This window comes from Homo sapiens, chromosome 17, assembly GCF_000001405.40.
Source record: "Homo sapiens chromosome 17, GRCh38.p14 Primary Assembly".
In the NCBI taxonomy this organism is placed as follows: domain Eukaryota; kingdom Metazoa; phylum Chordata; class Mammalia; order Primates; family Hominidae; genus Homo; species Homo sapiens.
The window spans coordinates 34060446-34083564 of record NC_000017.11 but is presented as its reverse complement, the minus strand read 5'-3'; the positions used below and the strand labels follow the sequence as shown (position 1 = coordinate 34083564).

The 23119-nt window shown below is 42.8% G+C and overlaps 1 protein-coding gene and 2 long non-coding RNA genes across 6 annotated transcripts in view, besides 1 other annotated feature; all 3 read left to right on the top strand.

Moving 5' to 3' along the window:
- ASIC2 (acid sensing ion channel subunit 2) overlaps positions 1 to 23119 on the top strand; it is a 1143682-nt gene that overhangs the window by 73204 nt on the left and 1047359 nt on the right. The gene's annotated exons all lie outside the window — the stretch shown is intronic.
- On the top strand, positions 583 to 11481 carry LOC107985035 (uncharacterized). 4 transcript variants are annotated; one of them, XR_001752831.1, is made up of 5 exons: positions 583 to 722; positions 1329 to 4671; positions 5216 to 5268; positions 5996 to 6466; positions 11240 to 11481. It is a non-coding gene; the product is annotated as an uncharacterized LOC107985035 (long non-coding RNA). The 4 variants fall into 4 exon arrangements; XR_001752830.1 differs by having other exon boundaries at positions 1329 to 4867; XR_001752832.1 differs by having other exon boundaries at positions 1329 to 5268; positions 5996 to 6154.
- Positions 11345 to 11474: an enhancer, noted in NCBI's record as "active region_12045". NCBI's record gives its function as "activates an Ori minimal core promoter by ATAC-STARR-seq in GM12878 lymphoblastoid cells {active_cell/tissue: GM12878}" and the evidence as "EXISTENCE:reporter gene assay evidence [ECO:0000049][PMID:35858748]".
- The window catches only part of LOC107987247 (uncharacterized), a 51173-nt gene continuing 40721 nt past the window's right edge, over positions 12668 to 23119 (top strand). Inside the window, exon 1 of the long non-coding RNA XR_002958159.2 lies at positions 12668 to 12748. This is a non-coding gene — a long non-coding RNA (uncharacterized LOC107987247). The remainder of the gene's footprint in view (positions 12749 to 23119) is intronic.

The window sequence follows — 23119 nt, the reverse complement described above, 5'->3', positions numbered from 1 at the left end:
ACCATTTGACCCAGCCATCCCATTACTGGGTATATACCCAAAGGACTATAAATCATGCTGCTATAAAGACACATGCACACGTATGTTTATTGTGGCACTATTCACAATAGCAAAGACTTGGAACCAACCCAAATGTCCAACAATGATAGACTGGATTAAGAAAATGTGGCACATATACACCATGGACTACTATGCAGCCATAAAAAATGATGAGTTCATGTCCTTTGTAGGGACATGGATGAAATTGGAAATCATCATTCTTAGTAAACTATCGCAAGAACAAAAAACCAAACACCGCATATTCTCACTCATAGGTGGGAATTGAACAGTGAGAACATATGGACACAGGAAGGGCAACATCACACTCTGGGGACTGTTGTGGGGTGGGGGGAGGGGGGAGGGATAGCACTGGGAGATATACCTAATGCTAGATGACGAGTTAGTGGGTGCAGTGCAGCAGCATGGCACATGTATACATATGTAACTAACCTGCACATTGTGCACATGTACCCTAAAACTTAAAGTATAATGATAAAAAAAAAATAGCATGCAAAGGAAAAAAAAACAAGAACAAATAAATGCATGCTGTGAGTATGGACTATACAAAGAAAGAGAAGCATATCTCCTTATGCTCCTGCATTCAAAAACTTCTTCCCATTGTAGGAGACAAGAAATGAAGCAGAAGAAGGAGCACAGATTTTGGGGTCAAACTGTCTTTTACTGTAAGCATAACTCAACTACTTTACCATCACGGTGACCTGGACTGGTTACTTAAATTTTCTAAGCCTCAACTTAAAAGTGGTAGCAGTAATGATCTATTTTTCAGAGGTTGTGCAAAAGGATTTAGTAAGGTAATGCATGAAGTACCTAGCACAGGGTCTAGCACATAGCAAGTGTTCAGTAAGTGGAAACTGTTGTGGAGGTTGTCATTATGTTGCCAGGGGGCGGGGACAGGTGATTGAGTGGACTGGGGACTCCCCCGCATTTTTGCAGAAGCTGGCCTTTGGTAGTATTTTTATCAGTCCAAGGCAAAAGGAGCAAAAAACAGGCAATGCAGTGAGCATTTTAGGAAGTGGAGTTTATTCCGTTTAAAGGACAATGCTTTTGTATGAGATTTTTTTCCCTTTGTAACTTTTATTTTACTAAAATGTCACAGTTTTGTGATACGATGGTAATACTAGAATACAAGATTTAATAGTATATTCTCACCTGGCAAAATAAAAGGTGGTGGCCTGGTGCTGGTCCTCAAAAAAATAAAAAATTCTGTACATAAAATTCCAATACCTAGAGATCACTGACTTCCATGACTCTAGTGTTCTCATCTCCAGGAGGTAGAGTGGAGCATTCAGAGAGAGTGCCTGAAGGAGCAGAGGGGACAGAAGAGTCTGTTGGCCTGGACTTTGAGAAGGCTTCCTGAAGCAGCAGGAAGAACTTGAGAAAGACCTTTAAGCATGCTGGGATTTGTATTCGTGGATGAAAGTATGAGGGCATCCTAGGTAGAAGATACAGCATGAGCAAAGGACCAGGAGCAGACATGAATGAGGTGTGATGAGAACTTAAATCGGAGAGTTTGGGTCATGGAGAAGCAAATGAGACCAGAAAGCCACTGGGGTTTCTTAAACAGGGGCTTGTCGTTCTGAAAATGGGGTTAAGTACAGAAGAGACTAAACATTTATTGAGCTACAATTATCTCTAATACTTACTACTACTCTGAAACTATTATCTCCAATTTATATATAAAAATACTGAGGCTTATAGAGATAAAACAAATTGTCAGAGTTCATATAACCAGTAAGTGGGAGAGCCAAGAATGTAGCAGGAGTGTTAAGACAGAAGAAGTTTTGAGAAGAGAGGGTAAAATTTAGGTGGGAAAAGATAGAGCAAATTATAATTTGTGAAATTCTGTGCAGAGCCTTAAGGGCTGAGAGTACGAACTTGAGTGAAAGTTCAAGGATGCATTCCCTCCCTTTGAGAAGGATTTTGAGGTGGTGGGTTCTAGATGCTGTTCTCAGCGCTATCCAATGACCCAAGGGCCCAATAATATTGTCTTAATTTCCTGTGCTGGGGAAAGCTCTTTCCAGCACCATCTGGTGGCATCTACCTGAATTGCTGGTGTAGAACCAAGGAGGAGATGCGTACCCTCTGGTGCAAAGCTTCCCTAAGTGTGGCAAAGAAATAATGTCTTGTTTCTGCCTTTTCTATCACTTCTAAGGATATCTATCTATCTAGTGCCTAGCAAAGTAGATATCTGATACCCATTAGGTTCCTTCTTACCACTATAATGTCTGGGTGTTGGTTCTCAAACTTTATTGTGTGCCAAAATCCCATGTGGAGTTTGTTAATGGTATCCTCCCACCCCTAGGCTCTAATTTAGTAGATCTGGGGTGCATCTATGAAAGCCAGATTTTAATAAGCCCCAGGGGGTTTCAGTGCAATTGGCCCCTGGAGCTCACTTAGGGAAGCTTGACTCCAGAAAGTATGCATCTCTTCATGGGCTATAAGCCAGCGATTCAGATAGATGCCAATAGAGGCTGCTTGGCAAAGCCTTACTAGGTACTTTATTCCTTGTCTCTTGGCCCATTTTTAGAAGAAGGGAGTCTTCACTCTGGGAATGGGAGGATCTTCAATGAGCAGGGACTAATTTTTCCAGCTGACTCTGAATAAAGATCTACAAAAGCTGTCAGCCAGACCCACTCCATCACTAAAATAAAGCAACTATGTGTCTGAATAAGCCCTGGCCTGGCAATATTGGACCTTTCCTTGCTGCTAATTCATTCAATGATATTGGGCAGGACTGTCTTGATTGCTCCGTTCAGTTCCTATGTCTGAAAACTGAAGGGATCAAAGTAAATGAACCTAAGGTGCCCGGGTTCTCTGACACATTTGTTAACCCTCATAATCTCCTTCTGCCTCCCATGAGGCAAGACTCTCCCTTCACCTAGCCTACTTTAGAGGGGCTGCCCATCCTTCCCTCTGCAGGTACCTCTCAGGCTAATGTTCTTTTGTGAGCCCAACATGGGGCCTCACATTCACAGAGCAGATTAAAGAGATTTGGTTTAAGGTCATCCAGTTGGAAAGTGAGAGAAGCTGACCATTTGTGGAGTCTGGATCCAGCTCACCAGCTCTAAGTTTGTTCCCCTTTCTCATTCACTGTGGATGGTGGTAAGGATGTTTTTGAGTGTTTTGAATTTAGTGCCAGGGAAGCTGGGCTGAGTTCATGTATAGCTGAGAGATCATGGGGAAATGGCCACCACATTGCACAAATCCAGGGGCACAATTGACATTGCAACCTATATGAAGGTGCTCCCTGGAGTTGTGTTATGAGGAATCTGAGTGGTTTTATGTGATGTCCCTGGCAGTGCATCATAGTTTTGGTGGTATTTTCTTTTCCTTTCAAGAGGCTATTAATGGTCCCTTTTAGAAACTATCTTTGCATATTACAGAAAGCTAGGTGGATAGCTCTTGAATATAGCAATCCATGGTAGACACAGACAGTATTCATAGAGTCCACTTTAGCTAAGTGTAGAAGCCATCAGCTCAGGAGTTCATGATACTGCATTTAAGTGGGGATCATCTTCCCTATCTTACCCTACATGCAAGAAGTTGGAGATTTCCATAGAAATTCCGGTAAAGTGGAAGATGCTTTTTAGTGTTGCATGGAGCTAGAAGGTCAAGGTCTTCCAGAAAAGTGCAGCCTCCTCTATCCATCTCCCAAATCGTTGATGCCCTTTCACCTACCCAGGACTTGCTGTGACCTGACAAGCAAAACAGCAAGGGTGAAAATCCCCTTATGACAATTCATGCCAGCCTGTCTTGCACAAATTTGAGAGCATTTCCTTAAATTCTGCACCCTGGGTGGCTCACTCACCTCATTCTAGTGCCAACCCTATGACATTTAAATCACCTATTTGGGTGTCAGTCCTGTGTTAGGTATTAGGGTACAGAAATCAAGAAAATATGGCCCTGCCTACAAGGACTTGACATACAGTTGGAGAGGCCATCAGGAAATCCAGTGATTCTGACTTGCCTTGAGATTCACTAGGTGGGAACACAGAAGTTCCAATGGAGCAACAAGTGAGGTACCTGGTCTACCTGGGAGGTTGAGAAGCCTTCCCTGAAAGGATATAGTCCTAGAGCAGAGACTTAAAAGGTGAGGAGGAGTCTGAAGGGGAGGGAGTGAGAACAGCATGGACAAAGTCCCCAAGGCAAGAGAGAGATGAGTTTGGAAAACCACACATTGATTAGTATGACTGAGATGAAAATTGCATGGGCTTCATACTGGGGGGAGGGAGTGGGCAGTGGCCAGAGAGGCAAAGCGTGATGGAGCCTGCATTCCATGCAAAATTATAAGAATTTCTATCCTGAAAACTGTGGGGAGCTGCTGAAGAATTTTGAGCAGGAAAATAACATGATCAGAATTGCATTTTAGAAGTATCACTCTGGTGGAAATGTGGAGATTCAACTGAACAGAGGTGAGAACAGAGACAGAATGAGCAGTTAGACCATGATTGCAAGAGTCCAGGTGAGGGGCACCAAGATGGAAAGGATCCAATCCACTGTCATAACTCCCTTGCGTCACTACTAGGAAGGAAAATTGCCTCCAGCCTTCTCCAGCTCTGGCAGGGAAGTTTCAGTTATCTGGGTGAGGATAAGCTTCTCCAGGAGTCCAAGGTAGGAGAACTTGGGGGACTTTTTCTGCTCCATGATGTAGAATCTCTTGCAGACCCAGGGTCTGCTGTGGTGGGACCAGATAGTGCCTTTCAAGCCTGGGCTGAGTGGAGGAGGGGTGCCTTTGGCCACAGAAAGAAGAGCCCAGAGACCGCCCCTGGGAAATCTTCCTTTCAGGACTGAGCTCCTGCACTTACGGGTGAGAAACACAGAAAGTGCTGGGGGCTGCTTCTGTTTCCCCCAAGTGCCCCCAGCCCCATCCCCATGTTTCTATGGCAATCCCTTTATGTTGCTTTCCTCATTGCTGCTTCTAGATTGTCTCCCAGCACTTCCGGGGGTGCTAGGGAAGGGAGCTAATTACCTTGCTATAAATACCAGCCAGAATGAGCTCCTAGGGCCCCAGACCTGGCTTTTCTTTTTCAGTGCCTCTGCGGTGGGTTGGGCAGTAGAGAGTGGGTAGAGTCTACACAGCAATCCATCGTTATATTCGCTATGTTCTTTCGCCCCCTCATGGGCTCAGCTGTGTTTACTTTCCTTCTATTAACAGGTGGAGTAGGAGCAAGGAAGCAGTGGCATTATGGGGCATCTGTGAAGTGCCAGGTACAGTGCTAGGCTCTGGGAATTGAAGGATGAATCAGAGCCTACCTCTGCTCTGAAGAAACTCACTGTTTAGAGAGAAAGGCAGGTTTGCAGCAAATAGTTGTGATGAGACATGTGACCTGGGGAACAGGGAGGAGCCATAGGTATACCTGGACCTATGCTTCTCTAGGGATGGAGGGTTTTACTGAGAAGATGGCCAGTGTAGCTGAACACTGAGAGCTGGTGAAACGGAGAGGCCAGGAGGAGGGCATTCTGGACAGAAGCTGTAGGGGCCTAAGAGGCACAGAGATGTGAAGATGTCATCAGAGAGTAGAGCTGGCCCTCTATAACTTTAACCCAGGATGTCCTGGAGGAAGGAGGAAGCCTGCAAAGTGCAACTGCAACCTGGTTTTGAGAGTCTTTGAGTGCCATGTTCTGGGGTCGCTGGGAGCCACACAATGCTTTTCGGCTGTGATGTGGCCTGATAAGATGCATGCTTCTTCAGAGAGGCTGGGACGCACTCTCTCTGGGCACTTAGCTTCATTATCTCAAAAAGGCCAGCTTCAGGGGCTGGAGCTCAAAAGGAGGTGATGGCAGTGGGCAAGGAATTTCAATGAGGACGCAATTAACATCTCACAAGCAGGGCAGACATGCAAACACCTCACTGAAGAGTAGAATTATGTGCAAGAGGGAGGGAGGAAAAAAATCCTTCCCCTAATAGCTTTCTGACTTTCATTAATTCTGACAGTGAAGGCTGCATCGTGGCTGTGTTCCATGGTAACCGTTTCCAGGAAGAGCAGCACCGGAGGAGTGCAGGTTCTGAAGACTTTCAATCAGCCCCAAAGCTTAGCCAGACAAAACGTCGTGTTGCTGGCTTCACAGCCTCCGCGGACACCAAAGGGAGAGGGTATGACGTGGGCAAACATTCTCCTAGGTTATTGCAGGAACTGTGATCACAAGGACCATGAGCGCAGCTGCCTCCCGGGGCTCGATCACAGGAGAGGAGCCCAGGGCCAGAGGTCCCTGAACTGCAGACCAGAGCATGTGGCTGCAGGAGAGGAATGAGGCAGAGAAAGCACAGCTACACACAGTGGATTCCTGGCCTCTTTCCCATCTCCCTGAGAAAGACTCATCACGTCTCCACTGTGGCTCTGTGGGTAATACCGGTAGAGAGGAAAGAGGAGGCTCTGGAGCCAGATGGCCTGGATCCGAATCCCAGGTACTCCCTTACTCACAGGACCATCTTGGGCAAATTACATCACTTCTCTGGGGTTCACCTCCTTAGTTATCACCTGCAATATATGGTGTTTTCAGGAGGCTAGATGAGACAGCCCGTGAGAAATGGCCAGCTGCAGAACTGGCCCATGGCAGGTGCTGATCTTGTGTTGCGCTAAGCCACCCACAATAGTACTGCCTGCCCTCTCCTCCCTCCTCCTTCCTTCTTGCTTTTCCAGCCCTGCTTCTGTGCCCTTCCCACTCTTCCTGTCTCACTCTCTGACTATAATACAAGGTTGTTGAAGGTGTGAAGCAAGCAAGTGGCTTTGCTCTGAGCCTCATGGAGTCAGAAAGACCAGCTGGGTTTTGGTGCCCTTAGGGCTCTAGCTCTGCACCAGACAAAATGAATGAGTTTCAGGACAGTGGAAGCACATATTAGGTTGGGCGACCACATGGGAAGACAAATTATGAACAATGAGAGCCCTCAAAGCTCCATTCTTCATAACAACAATTATGTATGGAAGGCCTATTACATTCTGAGGCACTTCTTTAAGCACCTGGGATATACTTTTTTCAGGATGTTGCCTACCAGCAGAGAGAGGCTGGCCATAAACTATATATACAATAAAAGGTAGATATGAAGGTAGAAAGTGATATGAGCTTGGAGAAAGGAAAAACAGTAGAGTGAAGGGAGAGGGGATTGGAAGTGCTAGTGAGTGAAGAGGGCTGTGATTTTAATGGGGTGGGCACACTAGGCCTCATGGAGCCAGCAGTATGTGAGCAAAAGACTTGAAAGAGGGCCAGGCGTGGTGGCTCACAGCTGTAATCCCAGCACTTTGGGAGGCCAAGGCGGGTGGATCACCTGAGGTCAGGTGTTTGAGACCAGCCTGGCCAACATGGTGAAACCCCGTGTCTATTAAAAATACGAAAAAATTAGCCAGGCATGGTGGCAGGCACCTGTAGTCCCAGCTACTCGCAAGGCTGAGGCAGGAGAATGACATGAACCCGGGAGGCGGAGCTTGCAGTGAGCCGAGATCATGCCACTGCACTCCAGCCTGGGCAACAAAGTGAGACTCTGTCTCAAAAAAAAAATAAAAATAAAAAATAATAGCCAGGTGTGGTTGCACACACCTGTAATCCCAGCTACTTGGGAGGCTGAGGCAAGACAATCACTTGAACCTGGGAGGCAGAGGTTGCAGTGAGCTATGATGGCGCCATTGCACTCCAGCCGGAGCGACAGCAAGACTCTGTCTCAAAAAAAAAAAAAAAAAAAAAAAAAGGAAAAAGAAAAAGACTTGAAAGAGGTGAGGATGTCTGGAGGAAGAGCATTCTGAACCAAGATAACAGCCGGTGCAAAGGCTCTAAGGAGGCTGTGTGACTGGGACGGCTGAGGAATAGAAAGAAGGCTGGAGAGGAGGAAGGCAGAGAGTAACAGGGGATATCACATGGTGATGGGGGCTAGATTGGGTGGGCTGTTGTAGCTTCTTCTTCATGTGGTGCCATATGTACTGCAGGGAGTCAGGAAAGGCTAATGGTTTTCAGCTCCTCACTTCCTCCCTTCCCTTCCTCCAATTAACTAGAGCAACTACCTTTATTATCTATTTAATGTGTTGGAATCTGGTGTCAGATATTATTTAGATAAAGCTTTCTGCAACTTAAAAAGTGTTTGAAACCCACTGATTGAGTCTAGTACCAATGGGGAAACTGTGTCTCGGAAAGGGCCAGTGACTTATCCATGGCCACACAGCTAATTTTGTGGAAGAAACTGATCTCAAACCTGGGACATTGGGAAAGGGCTTTTTCTATGATCTGCGTCAGAGCCATGGGAGGTCTTGGGAGTCTGCATCAGAGCTTGTGACACACAGGCCACCTGAGTTTCAATCAGCTGGATGCCCAGACCTTCCACATTTAGGCTCACCGAGCCTATGAAGCTCTGCTCAGGGTGCTGACTTCTCCTCTCTCACAAGCACATGGTCCATTCCCAGAGCAGCTTCTTCCTCACTTTAAAGCCACACTCTGGCCGGGCGCGGTGGCTCACGCCTGTAATCCCAGCACTTTGGGAGACCGAGGTGGGCAGATCACCTGAGGTCAGGAGTTCAAGACCAGCTTGGCCAACATGGTGAAACCCTGTCTCTACTAAAATACAAAAATTAGCCAGGCGTGATGGCAGGTGCCTGTAATCCCAACTACTCAGGGGGCTGAGACAGGAGAATCACTTGAACCCTGGAGATGGTGTTTGTGGTGAGCCGAGATCGCGTCACTGCATTGCAGCCTGGGTGGCTGAGGGAGACTCTGTCTCAAAAAAAAAAAAAAAAAAAAAGAAAGAAAGAAAGAAAAAAGCCACACTCTGATTACTTGGGCCAGCAAGGCACCCACATTTGAAACTTTATAATGCTCAGAGCTACAGTGGCCCTGAAACACGTAATGCTGCCTTCCTAAGCGTGTTTTCTGCTCTGTAGGGGCTAAAGCAAATTACCTACTCGCAGGGTTTGGACTAGAATGGAGCTTAACAATAAACGCTATACTTTGGGATAGGGCCTGGCATGGGAGAGGTGGTCAGTGAATGTTATTAAGAAAATAAATCATGACAGTCTTTGGAAAAGTACACTTGTAAAGACAGACCTCCTAGCCCTATGCATAGAGAGAGGGTGCTAGAGCAGAATGGTCAATAATGTGGGGTTTGGAATAAAAATGACCCAGGTTCAGATCAAATTTCTTAACATGTCAGAGCCTCGGTGCCTGTATTTGTTAAAGGGCAATAATAACTAGATTTGGGGATCGTTAGAATTACATTGCATGCAATGTTCATTAGTTCAGTGCCTAGCCCCTTGGGATAGAGCTCTAATGGCAGCACAGAGATCCTAGCCAGTGGTTCTCAAAATACAGTGTGTATCACCATCCTCTGGAGGTCTTGTTAAAATATAGGTTGCTGGTTCTTACACTCCTGAGTTTCTGATCAGTAGGTCTGGGTTGGGGCTTGAGATTTTGGCATTTCTAACAAGTTCCCAAGTGATGCAAATGCTACTTGTTGGGAGATGAAACTTCATCTTGGTCTAAGAGCCAGTGTCTTAGACCAGGATGAGGTTTCTGGGGAGAGAAGGAACTGAAGGCCGTATATTGGCTGCATGTGCAGACAGTCCAGTTGGAGAGAGACATTTAGAGCCTTACGCAGAAGGAGGCCTGTTCTTCAGCCCAGGGAGCTGGCTGACTTCACACACCTGGGTGGCCAGCTGCTCTCACTTTACTCCATCACAGGCACTGAGATTCACAGTCCGATGAGAGGCAGCCAGCAAACAGCTCCTTCCCCTCCCACTGTTGCCCCAACCCCGTTTCTTCTGACTGGATAAGTTTTGACCTCTAGATAGACAAGCTGAGTGAATTATAAGATGCTAATGAAGAAAAGCAAGAAAATAAAGTAGGTAAGTCAAAATCAGTCTTTCTAGGTTTCTAGGATTCCTTCCCATAATTTCTCAGAGATGCTAATCATTCTGGGAACATTATGGGTCCCCGATACTTGAAAATGTTTCCATAGAAATTAATGGATCCTGTGTCTGCTACAGAAAGTTCATAGACTTTTGGCATCCCACAACCTGGCTCTCAGACCCCATATGGTTTGGCCACAACCTATACCAGCCAACCATAAAATATCTAACTTTCCCTACAGTCCTTCTCCCTCTGATAAGGTCGTAACAAAACCTATCTCTACTTTGGGTGTGCAAATCAGGGATCAGCAAACTATAGCTTGTGGGCTATATCTAGCCCATTGCCTGTTTTTGAAAATAAAGTTTTATTGGAACATAGACATACTTGTACATTTCTTTCTGTATTGTCTATGGCTGCTTTTCGGGGTGATTTCAATAGGGTGGGCACACTAGGCCCCATATGACAATGACAGACTTGAATACTTGCAACAGAGACTATAGAGTGTGCAGAATCTCAAATATTTGCAATATGACTCTTTATAGAAAAAGTTTCCTGACCCCTATTTTAAATCAAATGTCATTTACTCCATGGAACTTTGCGGAATCCCACCGAGTTGCATTCATCTCATTTTCTCCTATCACCTCCTGGTTCTTTGATCTGTGAATACGTTACCTGGCATAATGGTTTTCCATGTATATTTTTTCTCATTGACTCTATGTGTCTACGCTGACCTCTCTTTGAAATTACAAAATTTAGTACCAGGGCACGCACAGTTAAAAAAACATTTCTTAAATTATCCACTAAGCCCCCAAAGTGGGAAGAAACCTAAACGTCCAAGAGTAGAAAAAAGACCAAATAAATTATGGTGTAGCCCTATGATGTATTGCTATGTAACAAATAAAATGAGTTTCTCAGGAATATAAAAATGCCTGAGAGAAATCGTCCATCACATGAAGCGAAGATTTTTGCAATGGTTTTTATAATATAATTGCACTTTTATAAATAAGTAAAAATAATATGCAGAGGAATTAATTAAAAAGACTAGAAGGAAATATACACAACTTTTATTCATCTCTAGGTAGAGGGTTATGGGTGACTTTCATTTTGTTATTTTATTAGTTTGTATATTTTTCATTATAAGGATATATTGCTTTTAGAACCTGGGGTAAAAATTCAAGTTTTTAAAGCACTAGCAGCTGGCTCTATGCTGGCTTTGCCACGTTCTAACTGTACCGCCTTAAAAATTTATCTAGCCTCAGTTTCCTTATCTATAAAATATGGGGAAATACAGCCTTCTTCACAGGGTTTTTTAAAAACAACACAGCAAGCCCCAAAATGCCCTTCTTCTTAACAGGCTGCTGCAACAGCTGGGCTCAGCATTGAAATGGGGACCATCTGGGAGCCACACGACGGAGACTGAGTTGGCACCTTGAGAGGGAGGCAGAGCTGCGATGCACAGAGCGGTGCTGAGGCAGACTCACAGCTATGCAGCAATCGCGTCCCCAGCCCAGCACCAGCACTACTGACTGGGAAAGGACTTCTCGCCCCGATGCCTGCCCTGCTGCAAAAACCCCCTAGCTTCCTTTCAGCACAAAGCACAGCTGCTCTTTGTCTTTCATTTTCACCCTGAATCAGCTGTCCCCAGCCTACGTGGCCAGTGCCTGCCCTTCTGCACTTCCCACCCTGTGCTGTTTCTCGCCACCTGTTGTCAGCCTGCGCCTGCCATGTGACTTTTAAGAAAAAAGACAACCTTCATCCTTCCACTTAGACATTCTTTTTTTCTTAGCCAGAATCTTTCTTTCTCTCCCTAGAAAATGTCTTTGAGACTATACTTAATGATTTTTTTTTTTTTGATGGAGTCTCGCTCTGTTGTCCAGGCTGGAGTGCAGTGGCACCATCTCAGCTCACTGCAACCTCCATCTACCTGGTTCAAGCGATTCTTGTGCCTCAGCCTCCCCAGTAGCTAGGATTACAGGTGCACACCACCATGCCTGGTTAAGTTTTATATTTTTAGTAGAAACAGAGTTTCACCATGTTGGCCAGGCTGGTCTCGAACTCCTGACCTCAAGTGATCCACCTGCCTTGGCCTCCCAAAATGCTGGGATTACAGGCGTGAGCCACCGAGCCCGGCTAAGTAATGATTTTCTATTCGTTTCTTCCTTCTATCTCCCCGCCCCCTCTTCTTTTATAAGTGTCCTTATTGGATTTTTTTCTCTGATCATCGGTAGGGAAGGTGAGTGGATGAGGGAGACCAGTTAGAGGGCTGGAAAAATGGTCTCAGAAGAGAACAGTGCAGATGGTGAGAAGTGGATGTGTTGGACTAGAAATGGATAAAATCCACAGAAGTTACATATGGGAAGGATGAGGCCCACCAAGAGCCAGTGACATGCCTCAAGGTTATGTAATTGACCAAGGGACAGATCAGGGAATCTAGGCCTACATCCCTGCGGCCCCTAGACTATCTCAATACCTGGATATATCACTTATCTACTCTATTCTACATATTGTCCAGGGGTATGGAGATATCTGGCCTAATCACAATTCATCACTCAGAGTGCTGCATGTAACAAGGGTGTGTGCACACTTGAGAAGCCAAAAGGGGACCTACTGACTTCTGGACTTCTGAGAAGTACGTCATATCTTCCCACAGCTTCAGAACTTGGAGTTTCAGGGAATCTGTTGACGACTGGGCCATGGAATTAGAGGGGCATGTTTTGGACTACGAGCAGTGGAGATAAGAATCCCCAACTCATCCATCATCAGCTTTGTAAGAGTGGGAGGGCAGACTCTGCCTCTGTGGCGCTGTCCCTAAACCTCTCTTGGAGTCAGAGTACCCAGCTTAAGAAAGCACCTATGGAACAAGGTGGGTATCATGGAGTATGCAGGGAGTTAGCACACAAGGAGACATGGCACAGACTCTCTTGGCTTGTGGCCTGTTTGTGGGTCCATTATGACCAGGGTTATTGGTGTCCTTGCTGTTCTTTTCTCCCATGTGGTGGGGGTGGGAGAGAGTGGTCAGCAATTCCTCGTAGGAGCAGGTGTCCCAGTCCTGATGAGGCCATCTTGTATCTCTATGCTACATGGGACTCAGGGAGCCTATGGAGTTCTCCTCCAGCTCTTGCTTTTTTTCGGTAGAGACTTGGAAACTTTTCCCCAATGTAGCAACAGAGACGTTAAGTCCCAGCTCTGACTTCTGTCTTTACCTTTTGTTCCCAGACCATGGGGTTTAACCTCCTCTGAGTTTCTAGAAGGTACCATGAGCTACCTGTGGCTCAAGAAGGAAGGGGAATCATGTACCCAAATGGATAGAAGTTTTGAAGGTCTCAAGCAGAACCTCACATCTTCCCCAAACCTGATACTCAGTATCCCAGCTTCTGCTTGCTTGAGTACCCATTAGGCCTGAATGAAGACTGCTGGGGGCTGTAAGACCACATCACCAGGGGGTACTGCTTTATTGGTATGGTCACTTTGAAGGCAAAACTTGTTCGTGCACCAGCTTAACTTAGAGATTGTGAAGAGTCACTGAGGAATTTATGTCCATCAAAAGTGGAGATTGCTTTGCGAACTTCATAGTCAGGCTGAAAAACTGTCTCTAAAGTATACAGGTGTCAGGTATCAGATATCTTTTTTTATAGTTCAGTTACTACATTCTACTCAGCCAGTATACCTACTATGGGCCAAGCATGTACAAATTCTATTAATTAAATTTTGATTATCACCATGGAATAAATTTGGGCACTGAGTCACGGAGATTAAATAATTTTACCTGAGGTCAAGCAGACGGTTTATGGTCAGGTTGGGCTTCAAGCCTAAACCACTCTTACTCAAACGTTCATGCTTTTTCTACTTTCAAAGCCTCCCTCTGTCTTCATATCATTCTGCAAAATGGTTGCCTGAACACCTGCTATGTTGGACTTGAACTCACTACCACCCCAGATGACCAATGAATGGCTAAGAGAGGTTTGAATGTTTTGATTAGGCCTGTTAACATGTGCTTAGTCTTCCCTCTTTCTCCTCCCTCTCCTCCTCTCACCTTCTATCACTTGACTTCTGACACTTGCCTAGCCCTGGATGGAGGGACTCCCTTGTCTTCACTCAAGAAAGGGCAAGCTCAGTAGCTCAGCTTGAGGCTGTTCCTGCATCTTCAAGAAGGAGCCCAAGGCCGGGAGGAGCTTCCTCTTTCCCTGAACTAACTCAGTCAGTGATAGGCCCTGGTAATTTCTCTCTCTCTGAAAGAAAAAGAAAGAAATGAAGAAAAGAGAGGAAGAAAGAAAGAGAAAGAAGGAAAAAAAGAAAGAGAAAAAAAGGAAAGAAAGAAAGAAAAAGAAAGAAAAAAATGAAAGAAAAAGAAAGAGAGGAAAGGAAGAAAGGAAGGAAGGAAGAAGGAAAGAAAGGAAGAAGGAAAGGAAGAAAGGAAAAGGAAAGGAATAAGGGAGGGAAGGAGGGAAGAAAGGAGGGAAAGGAAGAGAGGGAGGGAGGGAGGGAAGGGAAGGGAGGGAGGGGAGAAATAAATCCTAAATTTTTAGCGTTTGCCAGCTTCTGCAGTGTAAATACTCCCATCACGGCTCATTTCGAGCCACCAAGGTGACCACTGAAAGTGGAGTTCAGAGGGGTAGGAGTAGCCCACTCTCCTGTGTCAGTGGGAGCCAGCTTCAGCACATCGTGGTCTTCCTTTCATTTGGCTTTGAGTGGCGTGGCTAATGGGTTTGTCACTCATTGCTTTTGTTTCCTCCCAGTTAAAATGCTTCACTTGCTTACTAAAAGCCTTTGACATTAATCAAGTTCTTCCTGCCAAGCTGGGCCCTACTTGGACTGTCCAGGAGTGAGTTAGGGAAGACAGCCACCACCTGCTCCCCTGAGGGCCCACTGGACAGCCAACTCATGAAAGTCCAATACCATGCCAGGCCTGGGGTGGGGCATCTATCAACAGAAAGGCATTGTCTTTAATTTTGAAACGCTAAAGGTCTGCTGTCAGGAAACAATGAACATTCTCATAAGAAACACTATTGGAAGAATGCCAGAGTCTAGACAGAGGCCTCAGTGCTGAGTGACAGAGCTTCATGGGACTTTCAAACCATTTGGTTCCACTCCATTGTTTTACAGGAAAAAGCTAAGACCCTGGGAGGGTGAGTGGCTTGCTAAAGGTCACAAAGTTATTTAGTGGCAGAGGTGGGATTGGAATCCATCTTTCTTGACATCTAGAAGCCAATTCTTTTGCTGCAGAATGGGCTGTTGGAAGGTATAATAGCTTATCGAACCAGGGAAAGATAGGCATCTCCCTTCCTCCTGCTAAGGTGATCAACTCATCCCCATTTTCCTATGAGTTTTCTATTAGCACTGAAAGTCCTTCCCTGTAACCCAGAAAAACCCTAAGTCGAGGCAGACCCCGAAAGCTGATTCCTGGTCCCCTTCTCTCATTCCCTTCCTTCCCTGTCCTTTTCTTCCTTCCATCATACATTAATGGTGCCTGCCCATAAAGACCTTAGTGTCGAAGAAAGAAATGTTGAGAAGAGGATTGTGGAGGCTGTCCTCCACACCTACCCGATTTGGGCTAGAGTTCACTCAGAACACTGTAACCTCTTTTACTAATGCCTCCACTTCTTGGTCTGCCTTTTGAAACAGAAATAGATTTATTGGATTGTAAAAGCAAGCAACCAATGTAGATTGTTAAAGAAATTAAATAATAGAGATGTATGTGTGGTAGTAAATGGATGTCTTCAGATAAACCCAGCAGCTGGACTAACAGGATAATGTTTATCCTTGAAGATAATTTCATTTATCCATCTGTCTATCATCTGTGTATCTATATATTGCTATACCATATTGTATATTACAGATTCCCATTCTGGTAAAAATTTGACCATATTAATCATGTTACTTTGTAATCTGGGATTTTCATTTAAAAACATATCATGGATGTCTTTCCACGTTAGCCATTTAAAGATTTCCTCATCCTTCACAACAGTAGCATATTCTATTGTGTGGGTATACCCCAATTTATTTACTCAATCCTATTTTTAAAGACAGTTAAGTTATTTCCATTTGAAAAATCATAAACAGCATTTTGTACAGGTATCCAGTAATCTTCTTGGGATAGTTTTTTTAGAAATAAATTATTGGGCCAAAGTATTCATACTTATAATTGTCATGCAGTAAGCCCTTTAAAAAAGCTATTCCAATTCATGTTCTCACTAACAGTCTCTTTTCCACACTCCTGTTAGCCTTCAGTATTACTGGATCAGTATTACTGATCCAAATCATTTGTCAGTTTGATAGGTCAAAAAAATTCCATTTTTAAAAAAATTTGCTTTCCTTTAAATTTCAGCAAGGATGTGAATCTTTTCACAAATCTATCAGCTATTTGTATTCTTTTTTCAATTTCTTTCATCTGAAGTCCATACTTGTACATGCCCAGGCCTCTGTGTAAACACTTACCACTACAAAGGACTTCAGAGAGCAAGCAATGTCAGCCCTAGTATTTATTCTACCAAAGAAGCCTTTATTAGTTTTCCACTGTGTAATAGGTGTGTGGTTGTGTGGCATTAAATACAAAGAAATGTGACACAATGTGCTTATTCTTGAAGGTTCCTAAAGTCTAGTATGAGAGACGGACACGTGCTCACATAACCCAGGAGAAGAGGACATGGCAGCTGCCTGAGGGCAGCAGTGTTCCGTCTTGCAGTTCTAAATTGGTAGTGCCGTCACTTTAGTTCTCTCAGATTTGAGGTTAGACACAGGGGCTTTTCTCAGAGCTGGAGCTTGATAATAAAGAATCCCACCTGTCCGAGGAGCTGAAGACATTGTGTGTTGTTTCCTGGGTGGTCTTGCTGACCTTCTCTGATTTCGAGTTCCCTGGAAACTTCACCAAACCAGTGACTCACATCTCCATGCCCAACCACCCAAAGCAGTCCACTTTGGCCCTTCTGTAAGTTCCTGGAATTCAAAAACACTGGATACAATGAGCGGAGAGGTCCCAGCCAGCTTCTGACTCCATGACTCAGCTGTCATCATGATAGATGTCATGGACAATACCCAAATAATTGTATGGGACATAATGCCTGTCCTTGAGGTGTTTGCAGGCTGAAGAGGCTTTGTGAGAATGTCTTTGCAGGCCATGTGAAAGGCTTTCAGCTGCTGGGCAGAGTTGGCACTCCACTCAGTGATGACCTCGTCCACAGTTACCTGCATCAGTGGTTCACAGCCCAGGTGGCACATTAGAAATCACCTGGAGAACATTAAAAAAACATAGATGCTGAGGACCCACCCCAAGAGGTTCCAATTCAATCAGTCTGGCATGAGGCCCAGGCAGCAGCATTTTGTAAGAACTCCCCAGGTGGTTCTAATGTGTACCTAAGGCCAGGAACCAGTGGCTTAGAGAGATCACAAAGAGATGAACGACTTAATTAACCAGTGGTTCCAGACCATTGCCTGTGTTGGTCACAATGTTATCTCCATGGTTTGTGAACTTCTTCAGTCCTTTAAGGGTAGGGATCTTGGACCTCAAATTAGAGATTTTCATCTCCTTAAGTCAGGCCTTCCCCACTCATAGTTATTCTAAAGGCACCATGTCCGGTAGTTAAGAGTGTGAACTGAGACTCAGGCCCCTGGTCTCAAATTCCTGTTCTCGAATCTAGTTCCTGTAAGACCATGGGAAAAATAGTACTTAACCTCTGTGTGCCCTCAGTTTTGTCACCTATTGTTGTGGACAGTTCTAATACTATCTCGAGAGTGTTGGTGGATTAAATAAGTTTCTAGGATGCAAAGGTGTTAGAAGAGGGGCTGGCCATCATGAACACTCTGTAAGCATTATTTTTACCACTTGGGAGAAAGGCCTTTCAGAGTCAAACCAAGCAATTCTTTTTATAATTCTCCCTTTTGATTACTCTTCTCTTGTCCTTAAGCTTGACTTTTTAACTTGTTGCATGCCCCTGTTTTCCTCTTATTCATCTACGTCCCTCTTCCTCAGAATGCAATGATCAAGACTGTAGGCAAAACCTTCCTTCCTTTCAGCATTCTAGTTGTGAAAGTTTGCCCTGGGCAGAAAGCAGCCTGTAATAACAACCCCTCAGCGGTCTTTTTTACTTTTGGAAGCCACATAAAGAAAGGTGTATAGGCTTTGGAAACAGATAAAATTGCTTTTTTAAAAAAATATGTTTTATTTTTTTAAAATTTTTCCACAAGTTATTGGGGTACAGGTGGTATTTGGTTACATGAGTAAGTTCTTTAGTGATAATTTGTGAGATTTTGGTGCACATATCACCCGAGCAGTATACACTGCACCATATTTGTAGTCTTTTATCCCTAGCTCCCCTTCCACTCTTCCCCCTAAGTCCCCAACATCCGTTGCATCCTCATAGCTTAGCTCCTACATATCAGTGAGAACATACGATGTGTGGTTTTCCATTCCTGAGTTACTTCGCCTAGAATAATAGTCTCCAATCTCATCCAACTTACTACAAGTGCTGTTAATTCATTCCTTTTCATGGCTGAGTACTATTCCATCACATATATATGCCACAATTTCTTTATCCAGTCTTTGTTTGATGGGCATTTGGGTTGGTTCTATGATTTTGCAGTTGTGAATTGTGCTGCTATAAACATGCATATGCAAGTATGTTCTTCAAATAATGACTTCTTCTCTGGATAGATACCCAGTAGGGGGATTGCTGGATCCAATGGTAGTTCTACTTTTAGTTCTTTAAAGAATCTCCACATTGTTTCCTATAGTGGCTGTACTAGTTTACATTCCCACTAGCCATGTGGAAGTGTTCCCTGTTCACTGCATCCACGCTAACATCTACTGTTTTTTTATTTTTTGATTATGGTCATTCTTGTAGGAGTAAGGTGGTATCACATTGTGGTTTTGATTTGCATTTCCCTGATCATTAGTGATGTTGAGCATTTTTTCATATGTTTGTTGGGCATTTGTGTATCTTCTTTTGAGAATTGTCTATTCATGCCCTTAGCCCACTTTTTGATGGGATTGTTTGTTTTTTTCTTATTGATTTGTTTGAGTTTGTTGTAGATTCTGGATATTAGTTATTTGTCAGATGTATAGATTGTGAAGATTCTCTCCCACTCTGTGGGTTGCCTGTTTACTCTCCAGACTGTTCCTTTTGCTGTAAAAAAAAAGCTCTTTAGTTTGATTAGGTCCCAGCTATTTATCTCTTTTTATTGTGTTTGCTTTTGAGTTTTTGGTCATGAAATCCTTGACTAAGCCAATGTCTAGAAGGGTTGTTCCAATATTACCTTCTAGAATTCTTACAGTTTCAGGTCTTAGGTTTAAGTCCTTAATCCAACTTGAGTTGATTTTTGTATAAGGTGAGAGATGAGGATCCAGTTTCATTCTCCTACAGGTGGCTAGCCAATTATCCCAGCACCATTTGTTGAAAAGGGTGTCCTTTCCCCACTTTATATTTTTGTTTGCTTTGTTAAAGGTCAGTTGGCTGGAAGTATTTGGGTTTATTTCTGGGTTCTCTATTCTGTTCCATTGGTCTATGTGCCTATTTTTATACCAGTACCATGCTATTTTGGTGACTATGGCCTTATAGTATAGTTTGAAATCAGGTAGTGTGATGCTTCCAGATTTGATCTTTTTGCTTAGTCTTGCTTTGGCTAGGTGAGCTCTTTTTTGGTTCTATATGAATTTTAGAATTACTTTCTTCTAATTCTGTGAAGAATGATGGTGGTATTCTGAGGGGGATTGCACTGAATTTTTAGATTGCTTTTGGCAGTATGGTCATTTTCACAATATTGATTCTACCCATCCATGAGCATGGAATGTGTTTCCATTTGTTTGTGTTGTCTGTGATTTATTTCAGCAGTGTTTTGTAGTTTTCCTTCTAGAGGTCTTTCGACTCCTTTGTTAGGTATGTTCCTAAGTCTTTTATTTATTTATTTTTTGCAGCTATTTTAAAAGGGGTTGAGTTCTTGATTTGGTTCTCTGCTTGGTTGCTGTTGGTGTATAGAAGAGCTACTAATTTGTGTACATTAATCTTGTATCTGGAAACTTGGCTGAGTTCTTTTATCAGTTCTAGGAGCTTTCTGGAGGAGTCCTTAGGGTTTTCAAGGTAAACGATCATATCATCAGCAAATAGTGACAGTTTGACTTCCTCTTTACTGATTTGGATGCCCTTTATTTCTTTCTCTTGTCTGATTGCTCTGGCTAGGACTTCCAGTACTGTGTTGAAGAGGAGTGGTGAAAGTGGGCATCCTTGGCTTGTTCCAGTTCTCAGAGGGAATGCTTTCAACTTTTCCTCATTCAGTATTATGTTGACTGTGGGTTTGTCATAGATGGCTTTTATTATATTAAGGTATGTCCCTTGTATGCTGATTTTGCTGAGGGTTTTAATCATAAAGGATGCTGGATTTTGTTGAATGCTTTTTCTGCATCTATTGAGATGATCATGTGATTTTTGTTTTTAATTCTGTTTATGTGGTGTATCACATTTATAGACTTGTGTATGTTAAAAAATCCCTGCATTCCTGGTATGAAACCCACTTGATAATGGTGGATTCTCTTTTTGGTATGTTGTTGGAGTCAGTTAGCTAGTATTTTGTTAAGGATTTCAGCATCTATGTTCATCAAGGATATCGGTCTGTAATTTTCTTTTTTGATTTTGTCCTTTCCTGGTTTTGGTATTAGGGTGATGCTGGTTTCACAGAATGAATTAAGGAGGGTTCCTTCTTTCTCTGTCTGGTGGAATAGTGTCAAAAGGATTGGTACCAATTCTTCTTTGAATGTCTTGTAGAATTCTGTTGTGAATTCGTCTGGTACTGAATTATTTTTTGTTGCTAATTTTTTAATTACCACTTCAATCTCACTGCTGGTTTTGATCTGTTCAGGGTATCTAAGTCTTCCTGATTTAAGCTAGGAGGGTTGTATTTTTCCAGGAATTTATCTGTCTCTTCTAGGTTTTCTAGTTTATGTGCGTAAAGGTGTTCACAGTAGCCTTGGATGATCTTTTGTATTTCAGTGGTGTCAGTTGTAATATATACTTTTTCATTTCTTAGTGAGATTATTTGGATTTACTCTATTCTTTTCTTGGTTAATCTTGCTAATGGTCTATCAATTTTCTTAGCTTTTCAAAGAACCAGCTTTTTGTTTCATTTATCTTTTGTAATCTTTTTTTGTTTCAATTTCATTTAGTTCTGCTCTGATCTTGGTTATTTACTTTCTTCTACTGGATTTGGGTTTGGTTTGTTCTTCTTTCTCTAGTTCCTTAACGTGAGACCTTAGATTGTTTGTGATCTTTCAGAATTTTTGATGTAGGCATTTAGGGCTATGAACTTTGCTCTTAACGCCACTTTTGCTGCATCCCAAAGGTTTTGATAGGCTGTGTCATTTATTGTCATTCAGTTTGAAGAATTTTTTAATTTCCATCTTGATTTTGTTTTTGATCCAGTGCTCATTCAGGAGAAGGTTATTTAATTTCCATGTATTTGCATGGTTTTGAAGGTTCCTTTTGGAGTTGATTTCCAGTTTTATTCCACTGTGGTTTGAAAGAGTGCTTGATATAATTTCAATTTTCTTAAATTTATTGAGGCTCGTTTTATGTCCTATTATATGGTCTATCTTGGAGAAAGTTCCATGCACTGTCGAATAGAATGTGTATTCTATGGTTGTTGGATGAAATGTTCGGTACATATCTAAGTCCATTTGTTCCAAGGTATAGTTTAAATCCATTGTTTCCTTGCTGACTTTCTGTCTTGATGACCTGTCTAGTGCTATCAGTGGAGGATGGAAGCTCCCCACTATTACTGTGTTGCTGTCTATCTCATTTCTTAGGTCTAGTTGTAATTGTTTTATAAATTTGGGAGCTTCAGTGTTAGATGCGTGTATGTTTAGGATTGTAATATTTTCTTGTTGTACAAGGCCTTTTACCATTATATAATGTCCTTCTTTGTCTCTTTCAACTGCTGTTGCTTCAAAGATTGTTTTGTCTGATATAAGAATAGCTACCCGTGTTCACTTTTGGTATCCATTTGCATGAAATGCCTTTTTCCACCCCTTTACTTTAAGTTTATGTGAGTCCTTTTGTGTTATGTGAGTCTCCTAAAGGCAGCAGATAGTTGATTGGTGAGTTCTTATCCATTCTGTGGTTCTGTATCTTTTAAGTGGAGCATTTAGGCCATTTACATTCAATGTTAGTGTTGAAATGTGAGGTACCGTTGCTTTCATCATGCTCTTTGTTGCCTGTGTACTTTGGTTGTATTTTGTCTTTTGTTTTTGCTTTTTAACTTGTATTTCTGTTTTATAGGTCCCGTGTGATTTATGCTTTGAAGAGATTCTGTTTTGATGTGTTTCCAGGATTTGTTTCAAGATTTAGAGCTCCTTTTAGCAGTTATTGTAGTGGTGGCTTGGTAATGGCAAATTCTCTCCACATTTCTTTGTCTGAAAATTACTGTATCTTTCCTTCATATATGATGCTTAGTTTCACTGGGTACACAATTCTTGGCTGATAATGGTTTTGTTTGAGGAGGCTAAAGATAGGTCCCAAATCCCTTCTAGTTTGTTGGGTTTCTGCTGAGAAATCCGCTGTTAATCTGATAGGTTTTCCTTCATAGATTACCTGGTGATTATGTCTCACAGTTCTTAAGATTCTTTCCTTCATCTTAACTTTGGATAACCTAATGACAATGTGCCTAGGCGAAGATCTTTTTGTGATGAATTTCCCAGGTGTTCTTTGTTATTCTTGTATTTGGGTGTCTAGGTCTTTCGCAAGGCCAGGGAAGTTGTCCTCAATTATTCCCCAAAATATATTTCCAGTCTTTTAGATTTCTCTTCTTCCTCAGGAACACTGATTATTCTTAGGTTTGGTCATTTAACATAATCCCAGAATTTTTGGAAGCTTTGTTCATATTTTCTTATTCTTTTCTCTTTGTCTTTGTTGAAATGGGTTAATTTGAAGACCTTGTCTTTGAGCTCTGAATTTCTTTCTTCTACTTGTTAAATTCTATTGTTGAGGCTTTCCAGAGCATTTTGCATTTCTAAAAGTGTGTCCAAAGTTTCCTGAATTTTTGCTTGTTTTTTCTTTATGCTATCTATTCCCTTGAATATTTCTCCCTTCACTTCTTGTATCATTTTTTTTATTTCCTTGGATTGGGCTTCACCTTTCTCTGGTCCCTTCCTGATTAGCTTAATAACTAACCTCCTGAATTCTTTTTCACGTAAATCAAGGATTTCTTATTGGTTTGGATCCATTGCTGGTGAACTAGTGTGATTTTTTGGGAG